The sequence below is a fragment of the Homo sapiens genome, chromosome 12 (assembly GCF_000001405.40).
Source record: "Homo sapiens chromosome 12, GRCh38.p14 Primary Assembly".
Lineage (NCBI taxonomy): Eukaryota > Metazoa > Chordata > Mammalia > Primates > Hominidae > Homo > Homo sapiens.
The window spans coordinates 29947936-29968859 of record NC_000012.12 but is presented as its reverse complement, the minus strand read 5'-3'; the positions used below and the strand labels follow the sequence as shown (position 1 = coordinate 29968859).

The window sequence follows — 20924 nt, the reverse complement described above, 5'->3', positions numbered from 1 at the left end:
TAAAATGTATTTTGAGTTTAAAGCTTCAGAAACAAAAATAAAAAACTTTAAAGGGTTCTCTTTTAAAATTTGAAATTTAATAAACTAATATTGGTAAGGCAATAAAATTGGTTTTTATTTTTAGCCTATAAATGCTTTTATCCCATCAGAATGAATAATTATTCTAAAAATTGTCATTATTCTAAGCAGATATAATCTTATCCCAGTCCATTCCTATAAGGTCATGGTTGCCTAGCTCAGTATGCATTGGCGTTAATTATTGTGTTTACCTTCAATTTTGTCTTTCATTAATGTTTTGTCAAGGGCTCTCACCAGATCCCGCGTAAGCTTAATGGGTTGTTTGTGCTCTTCCAGCCTCTCCATAATGGAATTGACAAAATTGCCTTGGTTATGGCAGTATAAATGCATCTTCTCCACCTGCTGGATTACTCCCTGAATCTTGGGATCATATTCACAGAGAGGCATGTGCTTTTTACTAATGTGTTTGTGTGTGTGTCTGTGTGTGTGTGCGTGTTCACGTTTTTCTTTAATCCTGTTAAGTGGAAACATTGCTGTTGGCTAATTATGAAATAATTTTACTATCGTGCATGACAATAACATTTATCATGGATGTGAAGTAAGTTTTAAGTTCAAAAATGGCCTCAGCTCTCCTGATGCAATACAAAATGAAGGGGATGCAACACACACTGAAAAATCCCATTACTATACTATTAAAGAAGATTTAAGCAATACAAATCAGTAATTTTTTTAAAAAACTGAAGTTGAAAACTCGGTACTATTTGATAGAAATTGAGAAGGATGAACACTGAGGATGGATGAAGAAATGCATACTGAGACAGAAATGCCATTTCAGCACCAGAAACCTCCTTCATAGAATAAAAGGAAATCAGCAGATGAAAAACATGAGTGCAGCAATTTTAGCATTTATTTAGATTGTAAGATTATATGGTGTTTATTATTTTACTCTACTGCTTTTAGGTTTTATGGCCATTTATTTCTTCATCTGTAGTTCTTAGGGCTTATTTTTTAAAGTTATAGCTATTTCTCAATATGTTTTACTTAAAGCCCAAGTAACAAGAAGGCTGGAAAATTTTCTTCTCATGCCTATTTGGGTCCCCGGATCACATAATATAATGAAAAAATTGATTTCAAGTACCATGTAAATGTGCATTTTTTTTCTTGGCTAATTCTTTTCAAAAAAAGCCAGGTTTAATGGCCTGGCTACAAAGTGCCATCTCATTCTTAGGAAAGAGCCCCTGCAGTGATGATATAACACTGTGCTGAGTGTGGCTGTACAGGAGAAGGATGGCAGAGATTCTTTTAAATTTCATTTTGCCAAGACCTAAGCAAGAGATCGATACTATGCTCTTTCTTTTTCAATTAACACAAATTGCCAGTAACTGTTTTCTTGTATTAATACACGTGAGTCCAACTTAGAAAAATATCATATTTTGGATGGTGAAAATGTCTCCTTTTGACAATAAAAAGCAGTTCAAACAAAACATAGGAATTTTTTTTTTTCTAATTCTATTTTGGTAAAGTCAATTTGATGACTATCCCTGCTACATAGCACTTTGTTGTTTTCAAAGTGTGGATTGGTCTGTATGTCATGAGGATCTTGCCAGTCTGTGAGAATGATCCTGTAAGAGAAACCGAGGCCCTGAGAGAATAAACGACTGGTATAAACTCACACAACTAATTGGTGACAGGACCTGGATGGTCACCTGGTTTACAGTCTGGTTGGTTTTGTTGTTTGTTTGGTTTGGTTTTGCTTTTTAAGTAGAATGGGTACATTTCAGTGTAGAATTTAATCCAGTTGATTAGAATGGTTATAATAGTTAAGATGGATGTAATACTTTCTGCTTTCCAGAGTTATTTCATGTCTTTTACCTTATTTAAGAGTTAGGGTAACTTCAGTCATAGCAATTATTATCATCCTTCTCCCCATTTTACAGTTTCAGAAACCAAGACTTAGAGATCTCATGTGACCTTGGTGCAGATTGTGGCAGACCAGGATGGAATCACTGCCCTTGGACTCCTCGTCCTGTTCACATTCCATGATCCATGCTGCCCAAGTAGCTTTCCCATCCAAAAATTGTATTTAAATTGAATGATTTGTGTTTTCCTCTTTGGAAGAAAGCATCCTTCAAACTGTGTCTTCCTGAAGGAGGTATTGAATTTCATTTATATTTCCCCAAGCCACCACCTCTGAATGGCAGCGAGAGGTGACCCAGAAAACAGGCAGGGCTAAACAACATTTAAATAATGCTGAGCTTTCTTTCCACCTTTTTTAAAGATATATTTCCTTCTAAGTAGCAGTAGATCACAGTCTGAAAGCAATGACTATATCTTAAATTGATTTTTGACTTGATTCTCTTTTGGCTTTTTTTATTCCTGTACCTCACAACAGAATGCTGCTTACTTTTTAAATTGTGTCCTGTAAAATTATTGTCCTTTTTTTTAAAAAAATAACTGAACCCTCATGTTTATTCTAAGAATTAAAGTTAGCTCCTGGATGTAAGCAGTTTAGATTAGATTTGGACACCCCCACAAGGTACAGGACTGTGCCTGTTTTTCTTTTATAAGTAAGGAAATTGTGCACTGAGGTCCCAGAAAGAAGATGTGAGAATAGAACCAAGATCTGTTCACTCTGAGCTCTGTTTCACCATCATGCTCTGCGGTTTCCCTGCAGCCACCTTGAGGCTAGAATACTTCCCAGAGTCCAAGATTAATGACATTTATGGAAATAAATGTGAGGCTTTGACCAGCCTAGAAACTCTAAAGATGAGGGCCTATCAGAACATTCCATTCCTATGGAAAAAATCTGGAGCTCTGGGGGCACATTTCACTGGGTCCTTGGAACCACACGGCAATTTACTAGGTCTGAATATTTTCACAGTAACTGAACTCTGAATATTATCCAAACACTTTAACTTCTTCCACAGACATTTGGGTTCGTCCATGAACCTAGAAGGTAGTCTGCTAAGATTCTGTACAACATAGTTCCAGACTGATAAAGAATAGGTTTCATGTTGATATTCCTTTTTTTAATTTAATTTTAGATTCAGGGGATACATGCGCAGGTTTGTTTTGTGCATATACTGGGTGATGCTGGGGTTTAGGCTTCTAGTGAACCCCTCACCCAAATAGCATAGCACCCACTAGGTAGGTTTTTAACCCTTGCCTTCCTACCTCCCTCCCCTTTGTGGAGGCTCCCGTGTCTACTGTTTCCATCCTTACGTCCACATGTTGATATTCTTACTTTACATTAATCACTGTTGGCTTTGTTTATAAATAAATCTATAGCAAAATAATCTTTTCCTGAAAATAGGCAAAATTAAAATTATTGTGTATGGCTAAGCAGAAGTCCATAAAGGCCAGGAAAATGTAATAGAATTTTTAAATTTGGGACATGAGAAAATCATTCCTATGGATACTCGGGTAAAATATTTGTTAAGGTTTATTTTTGAAACCAAAGATGAAAGAAAAACAATCTTTTTGTTATATAAAAGGTGGTAGTTGTAATAAACCTTAGAAAAAATTCAGAAGAAAATGTAGCAGTTAATTAATCAAGAAGTATAGAAGACTGATTTGATAATGCAATATATTTAATGCTTCTTTAATCTGATTCTTTAGCAAATTGATTTTAACGAGAATGAAGGATCAAGAAAAAAATGACAACCATTATTTTTGAAATCAGTTTAAGTATTTGGGGGAGTATTTTTCTTTTTGTCTTTGGAACAAGCCATACAACCTTTTCATTTCAAAAAAGGAAGCTTGGAAACAAGACAGCAGATCTCTTCTTCCCTGCTGTCTTCCTGAAGACTCAAAAGAATCCAAAATTCCAGACCCAATGGATATGACCACATTGTCATGCCAACATTCTAATTAGAACTCTGGGATTGGCAAGTTCTGTGCACACACACACACACACACACACACAGTGACACGTGAATATCCAGGTTGCCTCCAGTCGTCTTTATTCTTCATCTCACTCCCATTATGTTCCTCTCCCCTCCTCGTCCAAGTCACACCTGCCCTTTCTAGGGTTTTTTCCTGCATTTTTGAAGATTATTCCAGCATCTCATAGCAGTCACAGTCCTTATCAGTGCCATCTCACAGTGTCCTGAACTTTCTCCTTTTATCCTCACAGACTTGAGCATCAGGGCCATAGTTTTCTGTTGCTCTCTATCTTATTCTGTCATCCTTAGTAGCTACCAGTCCTGGTCCCTCAGTTCCTCTACACTCTGCACGCTATGGCCTTTCATCTCTTCCATTTCAAGCACTCACCAGCATGGCCAAGGCACTGACCTCTTCTTTACTGAGGTCTTCTCTTCCTTAATGACTAAATATGGAAATGCTCCTCTTTGACTTTCACCCCCTATCTCTCCTGTTTCTTCCTTTCCACCACCCTCTCTCCTATTGACCTGGATCTTTAAAAGGGTTATGATTAATATCTTCACCCTCTCAACTTCTCTGTGCTCATTTTTCCTCCTTCAGGCCCTAACTTTGTTTTTCCTTCTTTCCTTCCCGAAGCACCTGTGTTTCTCCTCCTCACTCCATCATCTCTGCTTTTTACCACGCTCTTTCCAACTGTCCAAATCTCTGGCCTCAACATTTCTTTGTGTTCGCAACCTCTAAGTCCATCTCTCATCTTACCTGGCCATTGAGTAGCACATATGGTGTCCCCCATGAAGGGTCACACCTGTCCTTGTAACTGTCACAGTAGCCCTCTGACTCTAGTGAGTACCCCACTGCCTGCTTTCTACTTTCCCTAACCCTCAATGGAGCTTCCAACTAGTAATGAATCAAAATCACAAATTTGAGGTGCATGGGATTTTCACAATGTCCCCCCCAAAAAAACACTAATAATAAATAGAATTCGGTTTAGGACTCTTATCAATTCATCTTTTGTGGGCTTTTGGTACCTCCCAAGTATTGTCTAGCATATTGATATATGTTTGGTATATATACCTCCTGTTGCCATATACATACATGTAGTACCAGAAAGAATCACTCTTAGTTTTAACTAAAAATATTGAGGTTACTCAAACTGAATAATTGCATTTTACCTTTACTCTGCCTCAAAGTGTCCCTGTTTTTGAGTCCCTCTTCTGTTGCTCTTTATTGGGAGAACAAATTGTCTTATTTTTGTAAGACTGCACTTCCACCTGTGTTCCTTTCTCTATTCCTCCCCACAACCCCACCATCCATGATGGTTGCTCCTTTTCTCATGTCTTCAGATTGTCCCCCTTCCTAGCTTCAAAATGTTGAAGACACTCCCAAGTTGCTATCTTGGCATGAAGAGGAGTCAGCACTCATTGCTTCTCCTTCCTCCCACCCACTCAGTTCAAGCTGCTTTCTTGAACATCCCTTGTGAATACGTAAGTTCTCTCAGCCCGCAGAATCCTTGAGTTTTATGAGATGAAGAATGTGACGTTGTTGAATGGCCCTCCTTTTGAAGCTGTCTCCTTTGCTCATGCGGTGTTACTGTTCTGCAGCCTTTGCATCTTGTCATTACTTTTCTTCTACCACCTCTAAATGTAGGGGCATCAGAGATAATCCATGATTGCCCATTGTCTGCACACATAAAAAACCTTAGCAGGCCAGGCACGGTGGCTCACGTCTATAATCCCAGCACTCCAGGAGGCCGAGGCGAGCACATCACTTGCGGTCAGGAGTTTGTGACCAGCCTGGCCAACATGGTGAAATCCCGTCTCTGCTAAAAATACAACATAAAAATTAGCCGGGTGTGGTGGAGTGCACCTGTAGTCCCAGCTACCTGGGAGGCTGAGGCAGTAGAATCGCTTGAATCCAGGAGATGGAGGTTGAAGTGAGCTGAGATAGCACCATTGCACTCCAGCCTGTGTGACAGAGCAAGACCTTGCCAAAAAAATAATAATAATAATAAAGAAAGAAAAAAAGCCTTAGCGTTTAAGGATTTCAATAATCCAGCCACTTTCTGTGGCTATGTTTTCACTACACTCTGAAACCGCATAAACCCAGCCCTCCGGCCAAACCGAATACTTGGCAGTGGAAAAACAAATCTACCTAAATACAACTTGAGGGAATACAAAGGAAATCATTGAAGAATTTGGTTAAAGTGGGAACTCTTCTGGGTCATCTAAAATGTGTTTCATTTAAATCTTTTTAATTTCCTCATATTCAAGTTTCTCTGTAAACCTGACTTATCTATAAAAGAACAAGAATGCTTATTTTTCTATATATCCACCCAAAAACTTGTTCACAAACCCTTAAAGAAGCATTATTCATAATATGCAAATGGTAGAAACAACCCAAATGTCCCATCAACTGATGAATAGACAAAGAGTCTGTGTGGTGTATACATACAAGGGAATGCGATGCAGTAATAAAATATGATTCAGTAATAAATACAAGTGGACTATTATTATACATGTCACCACGTGAATAGGCACTGAAAACATGATGTGAAGTGACAGAAGCCAGTCACAAAGTATCACATATTGCAAGATCCCATTTACATGAAAAATCTAGAACAGGCAAATCTCTAGAGACAGAAAGTAGAGGAGTTGCTACCCAGGCAGAGAGGGTAGGGGAAGGATAATTGGGGCGTGACATCTAAGGGCTGCAGGGCTTTGGAGGTTAATGAAAATAATCTAAAATTGTGGTAACAGTTGCACAATTCTGTGGATATACTGACAGCCACTGAATTTTACACTTCAAAGGGGTGAGTGTATGGTATGTGAACTATATCTCAATAAAGCTGTTTTTTCAAAAAAGAAAACACAGGAGCCATTTGGAACCTCTATTTTAGGGAGATAAGCAAGCTTCTTGGACTAGTTTTTCAAGGGTTACTTAAATGTAAAAGGAGAAAGGATATTTCAAAATCATATAAAATGATGTGATTATTACTTATTGCAGGTCTGTATCGAAGTATTTCGTGTACCCCATAAAAATATATACCTACTATGTACCTGTAATTTTTTTTTAATTTCAGAAAAAGATTATGCAATTTCTTAATAATATGAATGACTGTTCACTGTGACAATACAGATCACCTCTGGGATAGTATCAGATTGCATTAAAACTTCCTAATGCATTTATTTTGACTATGTAATAAATAATTAAAGAAAACCAGAAGCCAAATATGGTTTTAGACTCCATCTGTAAGGAGTATCATATTAACTATTTGAACTGGATTAGCAGATGTCAGAAAGAAAATGTAGTAAACTAAAATACTGTCTTAATTGGCCAGGTAAATGTTATAGGTAACAAAGTCTAATGGTCGTTTTTCCGTATTAATAACATCTGAAATCTCTAGGCCATATGTATTGAAAAAAATAAATACAATAAAAATGGTTGAATGGCTATACAAGTACATAACACTTCAGTACGTACTCTGTCCAGTCAGCCACAGGCCCACTTTGGTCTGAAGTCAGAGAAAAGAATGCCCTGAATCGTTGATGATTCATGGTGTAGAGTAGGTCCTGAGGATATGTTATTCTTGAGTCCCTCTCCTTCACTCCTTTTGGAATAGCTCTTGATTTCTTTATCATCAGCTCAGTGTGGTCACTGCTCTGCATTCAGGCAGCAGGACACCTGTCCTTGTTCCTTGCTTCTGCATATGTGTGGCCAGTTCTGTGCCAGGAGTGTGTGAGGTGAGCTGAGAAAAAACAAGTCCCAAGCCAGGGCCACTTGAAAGTGTGTGCAAATATATGTGCTACGTTCTTTCAGGGCTGAGGAAAAGCATAAAAGCAATGCTCTGACATTGGGACCTGGATGAGAAGGCAGTTAGGAATATCCCAATTTAGCCAGGTTGCATTTACCCCACAGCTAAATGGATGCTTTGATGATGCAGTTTAGTGCATGTCCCTAGGTTTAGACTTAGGGTGGTGGCTGTCTAAATCCTGGATCTGCCCTCATAGCTGAATGACGGGTTAAATGCTTCACCTCTAGGAACCTCAGTGGCTGAAGTGAAATGTGCTTTTTAATCTCTGCCCTATGTGGTATCGAGGACAACACACTAATGACTCTCAGGACTTTTGTTAAGAGTGTTCAGTTGGCACTGGGTGGAACCAGGGATCCTGGTTCAACAAGACAAGCGGTTAAAAGTATAAATTGCTCCGGCATAAAGCAATGTGATTTCCCTCTAGAAAGCTGCATTTCCTTATCAGTTAAACAGCATGAATAGGTAAGGAATTATAATCCTCTATGACCTTTCCCTTATATCAGCAGTTATTACATTTTAGAGCCTTAAGTATCACTTGGAGTGCCTGTTACAATGCATATCCCTAGGCCCCTCAATGATATAACGGGTCTGGGGAAGGGATCTGGGGATCAGCATTCGTAAGCCTCACACATGATGCTGATGTAAGTGGGGTTGAGACTACATTCTGAGAAACACTACTAAGTAGGATTCTCCTGATCATTTTATGCTTGATAACAGACAGTGTATCAAGATGCTAAGAGCTAACGAAGGAAAAAAAAAAAAAAAACTTCTCTGTGGAAATGTGAGCCAAGGGCACAGTGGCTGGCTGACTTTCCATAATAACTCTGGTTGCCTTGGTGATGAGAGGAGGTGGTGGGGGGGAACCATGGCACTGGGAAATGTTGCAATGGCAAGATAAATTTTTCTTTCGTATAAAAATTCTGTTCTGATTGTCCACCTTTGGTTAGGTGAGAAATAATCATGCTCTTGGTCCCATGAATCCAAATGTCTATCATGACATAAATAAAATATTTCCCAATGTTTTGCTAGCAACCCTCTACATCCCACTCTCTGTGTTTCCCCCAGAGACTTCCAAAAGGTCACATCTCTGAAAGCTGGGTACTGGGACCAGGAACAGCTCCATCATAGATTTTATAGAAGGAGCAATTACTAGAAATTAGATTATGATCACACGGTGCAAATTTTTCCAGTAAATATTTCAGAGGGTTTCAGAGGGAATTTTGCCTTTGGTTATCAGCAGTGAATCTTCTTTCTCATGTGTTGAATGACTAAAAGCATTTGCACCATCTCAGTTCCCTGGCTCTGTCTTAAGAACAAGAAATTTAGCAAAAGCAGCTTCTTCACATTTTCTTTTGGTTATGATGACTTGTTAGTTTATCAATTTAGATAAAGTGTTTAGCTTTCTATTTAAGGCTGTTAACACATTTATTTAAAGTGACAGCACATAGCTTGTTTTGTAAAAATATTGACATTTGGGGAGAATTTAGGAAATGCCAGTAGCAGAAATAAAAGGATTTGGTCATGGGCTTGGCAGCAGCAACCCTGGCATGCTGGGAAGCCCTCTAGATTACTACATCTTGGTTGTCTTTCTTTTGTGGTAGAAGGAGGGGCTGGATCACAAAACAAAGTCGCTTTCAATCAAAAAAGATTATTGCTTTCTTTTGTCTGACAGATGAACTTATTGATTAAATTAGATATTAGTACTTTTCTAAAATACCAAATTTTGAGATTTAAATTCTAAACAGTCTGATGAAGGGTATCTTCTTAAAGCATCCGTTTTCTCTAATAACTCTACTATATAGTCTGAATGCGTTCTTCATACAGAAAGAAAAAATGGATAATAGGCTGTGTATCACATCTCTGGCCAATGCAATGGAAATATAGCATCCAGTTTATTGGCTTTTTATAGCTTTTGACCTTTTACAGAAGCCACACAGAACTGTATGGGGACAGATTCATACTATGTGGTGTTGAAGAACAATTCTGTTTTTTCAATCTGAAGATCACACTTACTATAATTACCATTAAGTGATCGATTACCTGCATGCCCTCCCACCCCCAGTGGATTACAGTATCAGATTCGGGTCACTGTAGCAACAATGGGAGGATGTGGGGTGCTCACTCTATGTTGTGTGCGTAGTCAAACTTCAGCCACCTTTAACATCTCTCCCCCCAGTTGGAAACTGAGGAATGGAAAGATGGAAAGTTCTGACCCTGTCTAGTCATAGAGAAGCAGACATGGAGATGCAGCTCACACACAGACCTCACATGTGGCCTGGAACAGAGTAGGTCCTGAGGAAACGTTAGTCCTGAGTGTCTCCCCTTCACTCCTGCTCTATTGGAATGACTCTTCATACCTTTATCATCAGCTGGGTGAGGTCACTGCTCTGCACCCAGGCAGCAGGACACCTTCCACACTGTGCCTTGCTCCTGCATATGAAGGGCCAGTTCTCTGCTGCTGTGAGTGTCTGGAGGTGGGCTGGAGGAAGATTAGTCCCAAGCCAACGTCACTCCAAAATGCACACAAATATATATGTTAAATGCTTTTGGGATTGAGGGAAGCATAAAAACAATGCTCCCAGGTTGGGACCCAAAAGGGAAGGCAGCTAAGAATATACTGATTTAGCCAGGATTCATTTACCTCATAGCTAAAGGGATACTTTGATGATTCAGTTTCATGCATGTCCCTGGGTTTAAGCTCAGGCGGATGGCTAAATCCGGCCTCTGCCCTCACCAGCTGAATGATGGGTTAGATGCTTCACCTCTAGAAGCCTCAGTGGCCAAAGTGAAATGTGCTGATGAATCTCTACCTCTCTAGGTTCTTGTAAGGGTGGAATAAAAGAACATGAGCAGTGTGCCTAGCAGAGTGTCTGGCACATAGAAGGAGGCAATAAATGTTAGTTCCACTTGTTCCTTCCCATGCTCACTTAAAATTTCCACCAGAAGCTCTGTGAGCTGATTTTCCACTAGGAAGAGGATATCACAACGAAAACAGACACTGTCAAAAGCACATGTTGCCCCTGAAGAGAAATGAGATGGATCTTTCCATTTTTCTTGTTGCTGTGCTGGTAATAAAAATAACTAACTAATGTGTATTGCAGCCTAACTATGCTTCTGGCACTGTGCCAACCATTTTACATACAGCCTTTTAAAATACATTTCTAGGATAGAGGAATTATTATTGTTATTTCTTATTTTATTTATTATTATTATTACTCTTTGTCTACTTTCTTTGGGCTTGATTTGCTGTATCTTTTTTATTTTCTTGAAACGGAATTTCAAATCACCAATTTAGTCTTTTGTCTTTTCTAACATGCATTTAATACTAAAATTTCACTCTAAGCACTTCTTTAGCTACACTTTAACAATTTTAGTATGTTGCATCTTCATTTTCACTTCCTTTAAAGTATTTTCTAATTTCCAACATGATTCTTACTTGAACTAATGATGAAATGTAGACATGTGCTTTTAACTTCCAATCAGTTGGAGATTTTCTAATTATTATTCTGTTAATAATATGCAGTCTAATTCCACTGTGATCAAAAAACATACTCTGATTGATTTTAATCTTCTGAGATGTGTTGATGTTTACGTTATGGACTGGCATGTGGACAGTTTTGCTAGGTGTTTTATTATGCACTGGAAAAGAGTATTTTCAGTCATTGTTGGCAAGGGTGTTCTCTAACGTCAGTTAGGTACGTTTGTTAATTGTGGTATTCCAATTATCTGTATACTTCCTGATTGTGTGTGTGCATGAGCTCATTCTATTAGCTATTGTGAGTATTAAAGATTTCTGTTTTTGGTGTGAGGCATCACTTTCTATTTTTTTAATCAATTTTTCCTTTATATATTTTGAAGCTATTATTACTGGTTTTGTGCAAATTAAAATTATGATATCATCAGTAGATAGACCTCTTTATCATACTTAAATGTCCTTCTTTATTGATGGTAATATACATTGCCTTAAAGTTTACTGCCTGATTGTAGTGTAGCCAGGCCATCTTTCTTTGGGTTCCAGCTTGTAAAATATATAATTTCCTGTTCTTTTAGTTTTAAACTTACTGTGCCCTTATGTTTCTGATTCTTGTAGAAGTTATTTGAGATATAATTTGCATACCACACAATTCTTTCATTTAAAGTATAAAATTCAGTAATGTTAGTATATTCATAGAACTGTGCAATTATTGCCACTATCTATCTATTTTAGAATATTTTTGGTACCCCAGGAAAAAAACACCATACCTGTTAGCTATCACTCTCCATTGTCCCCCCATCCTTCCTAGCCCTAGGCAACCACAAATCTATGTTCTGTGTCTATAGGTTTATATATTCTGCACATTTCTTATCAATGGAATCTTACAACGGGTGGTCCTTTATGACTGGCTTCTATCACTTAGCATCATGTTTTCAGTGTATGTTTGTGCTGTAGCATGAATACTGACACTCCATTGCTTTTTATTGCCATATCATATTTCATTGTATGGATATACTGGATATTTGGGTTACTTTCACCTTTTGACTATTATTAATCATGCTTCTATGAGCATTCATAGACAAAGTTTTGTATGGATGTATGCTTTCCGTTTTCTTGGGGTATGTAGGAGTAGAATTTTTGGGTGAAATAAGTCTATGTTTAACTTTTTGAGAGACTGCCATTGCTTTCCAAAGAGGCCATACCATTTTACATTCCCACCAACAGTGTTTGAGGGTTAGATTTCTCCATATCCTCAACAACACTTGTCATTATATGACTTTTTCATTATAACCATCTTAGTGTGTTTGAAGAGGTATTTCATCACAATTTTGATTTGCATTTCCCTATTGACTAATAATGTTTGGCATTCTTTCATGTACTTATTGGCTCTTCATATGTCTTCTTTGGGAAAATATCTAGTCATACCCTTTGCTTATGCAGGATCCTATTCAGATATTTTAATTGGGTTCCTTGTCTCCTCTTATTGAGTTATAAAAGGTCTTTATATATGCTAGATATAAGTCCCTTATTAGATATATAATTTTCAAAACTTTTATCCCATTCTGTGAGTTGTCTTTGTACTTCCTTGGTAGTGTTCATTAAAGTACAAAAGTTTTGATTGTGAAGTCTAATTTATTTATATTTCTTTGGATGCTTATGCTTTTGGTGTTATATTTAGGAAACCACTGCCAAATCTGAGATCATGAAGACTTATACTTATGTTTTTCTAATAGTTTTGTATATTTAGCTTTCACATTTAAGTCTTTGATTTGTTTTGAGTTAATTTGTGAATATGGTGTGAGGTGTGAGGTAAGGGTCTGACTTCATTTTCTTGCATAGGCTATCCAGCTATCCCAACATCACTTGTTGAAAAGATTATTCTTTCCCCATGTACTTGCCTTGGCAACTTTGTCAAAAAGCAATTAATTGTAAATGTGAGAGTTTATTAGAGGATTCTCTATTCCATTCCACTGATTTACATGTCTACTCATATGCCAGTACCACTTTGTCTTGATTAGTGTTGCTTTTTAGTAAGTTTTGAATTTGGAAAGTGTGAGTTCTCCAACTTTGTCCTTCCTGCTTATGATTATTTTGGCTACCTTAGGTCTCTTGAATTTCCATATACATTTTAGTTTCAGTTTGTCAGTTCAAGCAAAGAATTCAGCCAATATTTTGATAAAGATTGCATTGAATCTGTACATTAATTTTGGGAATATTTTCATTGTAACAATATTGAATCTTTTGATCTATGAACATTGAATCTCTTTTTATTTATTTAGGTCTTCAGTAATTTCTTTTAACAATGTTGTTTTGGAATTTTCAGAATATGAGTTTAACATGTCTTTTGTTATGTTTACCCCTAAGTATTTAATCCTTTCTGATGCCATTCTAAATGGTGTTGTTTTCTTAATTTCATTGCAAGTTTGCTTATTGATACTGTATAGAAAAACAATTCATTTTTGTACATTGATATTGGTATGGTGCAAACTTGCTGAACTCATTTATTAGTTCTAATAGTTTTAGAGGATTTCATAGGATTTTCTATCTACCAGATATTACAATACAGATAGTTTTACTTCTTCATTTCCAATCCAAATGCATTTTATTTTATTTTATTACCTAATTGCCCTGGCTGTTACCTGCAATAAAATGTTGACTAGAAGTGGCGAGAACAGATATTAGGGGAAAAATGTTCAGTCTTTCACCATCCTGTTTATTTTTTTCTTAGCTAAATATTCACTCTACAAAATGCAGGTTCACATCTTTGCCTGACTCTAATGTCAGCTGAGTGGACTGTGAGCTATTGGTTTGCCATTTAGACTCCCTCACCTCAGTGTTTACTTGAGAATGGGGTTTCCACAGTTAATGACTCTAGTTTGTTAGTGGTGTTATTTTACATTTATTGCAATTCTGTGGTTTCTACATGTATTTTATACGTGGATATAATATGAAGATTCTGTCAAAAGTCTGTTCAGATATTTGAAAATTCTTACACAGGGAAAAACTATTCTGAAGTGTTACTTAAATTTTCTGTGGGGCAGTATGAACCACAATATCTTCCTTGATTTTGGAATGTAATTTTAAAAGTGGAAAGATAGGTTTTAATTGAAATTTTTAAAATGTTTCAATGAGATAGATAATAGTAACTCCCCCTCCAACCCCCAAATTGCCTCATATATGCCAGGCACTTTTCTTTTTTTTTTTTTTGTATTATTATACTTTAAGTTTTAGGGTACATGTGCACAATGTGCAGGTTAGTTACACATGTATACATGTGACATGCTGGTGCGCTGCACCCACTAACTCGTCATCTAGCATTAGGTATATCTCCCAATGCTCTCCCTCCCCCCTCCCCCCACCCAACAACAGTCTCCAGAGTGTGATGTTCCCCTTCCTGTGCCCATATGTTCTCATTGTTCAATTCCCACCTATGAGTGAGAATATGCGGTGTTTGGTTTTTTGTTCTTGAGATAGTTTACTGAGAATGATGATTTCCAATTTCATCCATGTCCCTACAAAGGACGTGAACTCATCATTTTTATGGCTGCATAGTATTCCATGGTATATGTGCCACATTTTCTTAATCCAGTCTATCATTGTTGGACATTTGGGTCGGTTCCAAGTCTTTGCTATTGTGAATAGTGCTGCAATAAACATACGTGTGCATGTGTCTTTATAGCAGCATGATTTATACTCCTTTGGGTATATACCCAGTAATGGGATGGCTGGGTCAAATGGTATTTCTAGTTCTAGATCCCTGAGGAATGGCCACACTGACTTCCACAATGGTTGAACTAGTTTACAGTCCCACCAACAGTGTAAAAGTGTTCCTATTTCTCCACATCCTCTCCAGCACCTGTTGTTTCCTGACTTTTTAATGATTGCCATTCTGACTGGTGTGAGATGGTATCTCATTGTGGTTTTGATTTGCATTTCTCTGATGGCCGGTGATGTTGAGCATTTTCTCATGTGTTTTTTTGGCTGCATAAATGTCTTCTTTTGAGAAGTGTATGCCAGGCACTTTTCTAAGCATTTCCAACTGCTTAATTCTCATGAATTATGTAGGTACTATTATTACCCCATTTCAAAGATACAGAAACTGAAACATATGAATCTAAAATAATATACCTGAAAAACACAGCTAATAAGAAGGAGAGTTGGGATTTGAACCCAAGAAGTCAGGATTTAGAGACTGTGCTCTTGAACACTAAATGGGAATAGGGTAAACAGCAGAGCCTGGCAAGTAGTAAATGCTCAATAATTGGAGGTTCTAATTTTTAGTTTCTTATTATTCCAAGTGAAGTAGGGATTACTTTGCTTTCTTTAGGAACATGTCTCTGCGATTTGCAAGGCTACACCAATCCAGACACATGAACAAAGTACCTAAAATGTTCACCAACATCATTTGAAAACAGGATAACTTATATAGGGAGATATACTAAGAGTTAGAAATATACAAAATTGTAACACTCTTTTTTATCTATTTAGCAAACATTTGTTGACTTGCCACTATGCGCAGATCACTGGGGTCAAGGAGTTGTAATAGGTTAATATGATCAGGTCTGATTAAGGAACTGGAGTCAGGCATTTCAGTGTTGTCACTGAGTAAGTAGCTCAGCGACTGGGCAAATGCTATGATCTCCCTAACCATTTCGTTTTTTATTTTGGAAAGGAAGTACTATTGTCTATTTCAAAGTGTTTAATGAGAATTGTGACACATTATAGATCACTAAGCATGGTATCTGGGAGAAAGAAAATGGACAGTAAATAAGTAAATTTCTGGGGTGATGGGAATGATTGAGGTGACGGTTACATGGGTATATATCTATTTATGAAAACTCATGGAACTGTATACAGAATTGCACACATTTATTGTCTGTAAATATACCTAAAAACATTTGATTAAAAGATAATCAATTACCATCAACACGCCTCTTGGGATGGATGACTTCTTTAGAAAATTTTTTTTTAACATCTTTCAAAGTGGTGTGAACCAAATTTGTTGGTCTTCAGTATCTATTGACTCCACAAAAGCTCCCAAGCCAACATAGAGTCAGTCTGCAATGTAGATCTAAGAGGAAATATTCTCTGTACCTGAAGGCTTGGCATTCTGTAACACTCCAAGGCCAAATTAAGTTACGTGATGGGATGCTTTTATTTGTAGTGAATCTGTCCTTCATGGGCTTTTTAGAGGTACAGATTCCCCCAAAGAAATAGAGTGTCCAGTGAGTGACTTTGAAAATACATCTTGATATGACAAATAAATGTTTAATGGGGATCTGAAATATTTAAATTCATCACCCCTGTGAAATGCCAGGTACTCTAACAGGCTTGTTATGTAAGAGGTCAGTCCTTGGATAAAATCAAATAAATTAAACACTATCAAATTGCTGTCTTTTCTATTTTTCTGCTGAATTTGAAAATCTTTCAAGTTAAATTGCTGTGGAGCCAATAAATCCTACAAAGTTTCAGCATTTGTTTGTTTTTCTTTTTCTTTTTCTTTTTTTTTTTTTTTTTTCTGAGATGGAGTCTTGCTCTGTTATCCAGGCTGGAGTGCAGTGGCACGATGTCAGCTCACTGCAAGAGCCATTAGCATCATGTTTTCAGTGTATGTTTGTGCCTCCTGGGTTCAAGCCATTCTCCTTCCCCAGCCTCCCCAGTAGCTAGGATTGCAAGTGTGCACCACCAAGCCCAGCTAATTTTTGTATTTTTAGTAGAGACAGGGTTTCACCATGTTGGCCAGGCTGGTCTCAAACTCCTGAACTCGTGATCCACCTGCCTTGGCCTGCCAAAGTGCTGGGATTACAGGTGTAAGCCTTCGTGCCTGGCCTCATCATTTGATTTCTAAGTTTACTCTTCTTTGAGACAGATTTTCAAGGAAGAAATTGGTTAAAAGTTTCAAAATACTTAAACTGGAAGAACTCTCTTAGCCATAAAATTCATAATAAAATTGCCAGAACTCAAACAACAATAACAACAAAAAACTTCATTTTAAAAATATGTGCTCATTGAAGAATTACTTCAGGGTATACTTTAATGTAAAAGCTGATTATGTATAAACAAAAAAGACTTCTGTAGTGTCTTGCACACATTCTTTAAATGTCTGTTAACTAATGAATGAATTGACAAGAAAGCAGCATTAAGGGAACTGCAGATACAATTTTCTTATAAACAAACAACTTTAAGACCAGGAATTGGCTGAATCCCAATAAGCAGGGAGTAGCATGTTTGGCCACTTCCTTTGGGAAATCACTAAGGCCTGCACCTCACACTGTGCCTGGCACAGAAGACATGATAAATGTTTGCTAAAATGAATCATTACATCTAAAGTCTGTTTATGGGAAATACAATTTTTTCCAAGGTCTGTGAGAGCAAACTGACTTCTACATGCAATCACCTTGTAATGAGGGCACTAAAGAACAAAAATATATGGGTCAAAATGAGCTTTCTCTCTACAGAATTTCATCCTGCAAAGAAGGGAGAGGTGGGGCTTTTGTAGCAGGTGCTGCTCTCTGCTGCTTTGATCATTCATGGAGTGGTTCCACTGAAATCCAGCAGGCAGACAACCTGCTGGGATCTTGTTAGAGTCTGGGCCGGGCATGGTGACTCACGCCTGTAATCCCAGCACTTTGGGAGGCCAAGGCGGGTGGATCACGAGGTCAGGAGATCAAGACCATCCTGGCTAACACGGTGAAACCCCATCTCTACTAAAAATAGAAAAAAAAAATTAGCCAGGCATGGTGGCACGCACCTGTAACCCCAGCTACCTGGGAGGCTGAGGCAGGAAAATCACTTGAACCCAGGAGGCAGAGCTGGCACTGAGCCGAGATGGTGCCACTACACCCCAGCATGAGCGACAGAGCTAGACGCCATCTCAAAAATAAATAAATAAATAAATAAATAAATAAATAAATAAATAAATAAAAGTACAGAGTCTGTCAGTGAGTCTGGGTGAAGCCTGAGACCCTGTATTTTTTTTTTTTCCATTATGTTCTGGGATATATGCGCAGAACGTGCAGGTTTGTTACATAGGTAAACATGTGCCATGGTGGTTTGCTTCATCCATCAACCCGTCATCTACATTAGGTATTTGTCCTAATGCTCTCCCTCCCCTTGCCCCCGACCCCCCAACAGGCCCTGGTGTGTGATGTTCCCCTCCCTGTGTCCATGTGTTCTCATTGTTCAGCTCCCACTGATAAGTGAGAACATGCGGTGTTTGGTTTTCTGTTCTTGTGTTAGTTTGCTGGGAATGATGGTTTCCAGCTTCATCCATGTCCCTGCAGAGGACATGAACTCATCGTTTTTTATGGCTGCATAGTGTTCCATGGTGTATATGTGCCACATTTTCTTTAGCCAGTCTATCACTGATGGGCATTTTGGTTGGTTCCAAGTCTTTGCTATTGTGAACAGTGCTGCAATAAACATACGTGTGCATGTGTCTTTATAGTAGAATGATTTATAATCCTTTGGGTATATACCCAGTAATGGGATTGCTGGGTCAAATGGTATTTCTGGTTCTAGATCCTTGAGAAGACCCTTTATTTGTAACAAGCTCCAGGTGATGCCAAGATGGACGTTGATGAGCTGCATTCTGTGCAGTGAAGGTGCTGGGAGAAGAAAGTGTTTGTTAAGAATGAAAGGGTACAGGGGATGCAGACACTGCACCCAGAGTCAGGACTGCCATGTGACCATACATGCCACTTCACTTTCCCAAGTCCAAAGCATCTCACGGGGAAAAGGGGCGTAATAGCAACAGGATGGTAATACTCAGCTCATGAGATCTTGTGAGAGTTAAACGAATAGCTTGACGTAACAATGTAGGCACATGCTTTGTGCAGAGTGATGCTCAGTAAATGATTGCTTACTGTAAATAGTAAGCCCAGGTTAGATGCTCTCTGTTGTTCAGAGGGCTCCACCCTTCACTCCCCTACATGCCAACGACAGTGCCCAGCACTGAGCAGGGGCTCAAGCAGCATTTGTGAGGTTCAATTAATAGCCTAGGAAACCAATGTCTGTATGTTTTGGCTGTAAAGACAATTATTAATACCTGGATAATGGCTCCCTGCAGCACCAACAAAAGAAAATCTTCATCAAGAAAGTGGTCACTTCTAGGACTTGGGCCAGGTTCCTCTGAGCCAGCAGTGGGAGACAGAGGTAGCTTCTTCCAACAAAAATACAGCATTAGAATAGCTGATCTTTCTTTTCTGCTGATGTTGCACATGCCTCACGTTTCATAAATTGTGCATGAAATTTATCCATCCTTGATACATGGCCAGTCATGTCCCTGGCAGGTGTCTTTGCACCCTTGGAGTACAGCCTGCAGTGGTGTGATTACGGCCTTAGGGTCCCAACCATCTTCCAGAGCATTGTGGAACCGGCCTGGAGGACACCGGTATTGCCCCTGGAAGATGCTCTGCTGAAGGTCAGGTGAAACTCTTGTGAATAACTTGTATAATACCAAACAATATTCCCAAATAGCATAGCAGAAATGCAGTAGAAAAACTGGAGAATTACCTGCAGCCTCACTTGAATCTTAAAATCTCTTTCTACTGAACATTCAGAGGGAGAGAATTTGTTGGCCCCTTGAGAAAGCCTGGTTTAATTGACTTCAGGGGAAATTCATAGTAAATCACTAGCCTTAAAGAAAAGCAATGAAGTATTGAAGCCTATTCAAAGTATTTAGACAAAGTGTTATTAATAATATACAGATCTCAGGAGAAAACATCTTAGTATTTAGATGAAGTGTTGTTAATAATCTACAGATCTCAGGAAAAGACACTGAAACCATAGCAGAAAGGTGATAGCTTATTGCTATGGTTTCAGTGGCTCCCCTCCAAAATTCAGGTGTTGCCAATGGGATAGTATTAAGAAGTAGGGCTGTTAAGAGGTGATGAGGTGATGAGGGCTCCTCCCTTGTGAATGCGATTGAAGGCCCTTATGAAAGAGCCTTCACACAGGGTTCAGTTAGGTTGCTCTTCTGCTCCTCTGCCATGTGAGGACACAGTATTCTCCCCCTCCAGAGGATGCAGCCCTCACTAGACAACCAAACCTGCCAGTGCTTTGATCTTGGACTTGCTAGTTTCCAGAACGGTGAGAAATAAATTTCTCCTCTTTATAAATTACCCTGTCTGTGATATTCTGTTATAGCAGTGCAAATAGACCAAGACACCTTACTAAAGTGTTTAATTAAATATGGTCCAGAGTTTGCATATGGGTATTCAAGCTCTGCTGCTTTATTGATGAGCAGGTAATTGTTTCCATTTAATTTCACACAATTTTCTTAATTTATTGTCAATTTTTATAAGTGATGATTTATAAAATGTATAAATTAAGATTTCTGTAAATACACATTTTCATATAATGGCTTTAATTTGGAGGCTCTTAACTGACACTAATCACCATGATCATTTGCTTTTGATAAAAATTATAAGTCTAGATTTCTTACACAAATATTTCCCACTCTAGAGTAGGTGAGTTTTAGGTCAGGATAATTCATTTTATTGATATATTCTCTATCATCTTGGGGAAAAGTATTTCATGAACAATAAAAGCTGTGATTGCTTGCAGCTTTTATTAATCTTTCTTCAGGCTTTGCTTAGGAATTGGTTACCTCACAACTCAAATGGATCGAATTTTATATTCTTATAAAATTTGCACCTTAATGCCTCTTAGAGGATCATGGAAGGTTGTGATGATGGCCTCCTAAGAGATAATATTTCTAATGGCCCCCTACACGTG

At 38.1% G+C, this 20924-nt stretch overlaps 1 long non-coding RNA gene across 3 annotated transcripts in view, besides 1 other annotated feature; it reads left to right on the top strand.

The window, feature by feature from the left end:
* LOC105369715 (uncharacterized) overlaps positions 1-20924 on the top strand; it is a 182759-nt gene that overhangs the window by 82637 nt on the left and 79198 nt on the right. The window lies entirely within an intron of this gene.
* Positions 19367-19583: a silencer, noted in NCBI's record as "fragment chr12:30102210-30102426 (GRCh37/hg19 assembly coordinates)". NCBI's record gives its function as "represses an EF-1alpha promoter that drives an FKBP-Casp9 reporter gene in an ReSE screen in K562 erythroleukemia cells {active_cell/tissue: K562}" and the evidence as "EXISTENCE:reporter gene assay evidence [ECO:0000049][PMID:32094911]".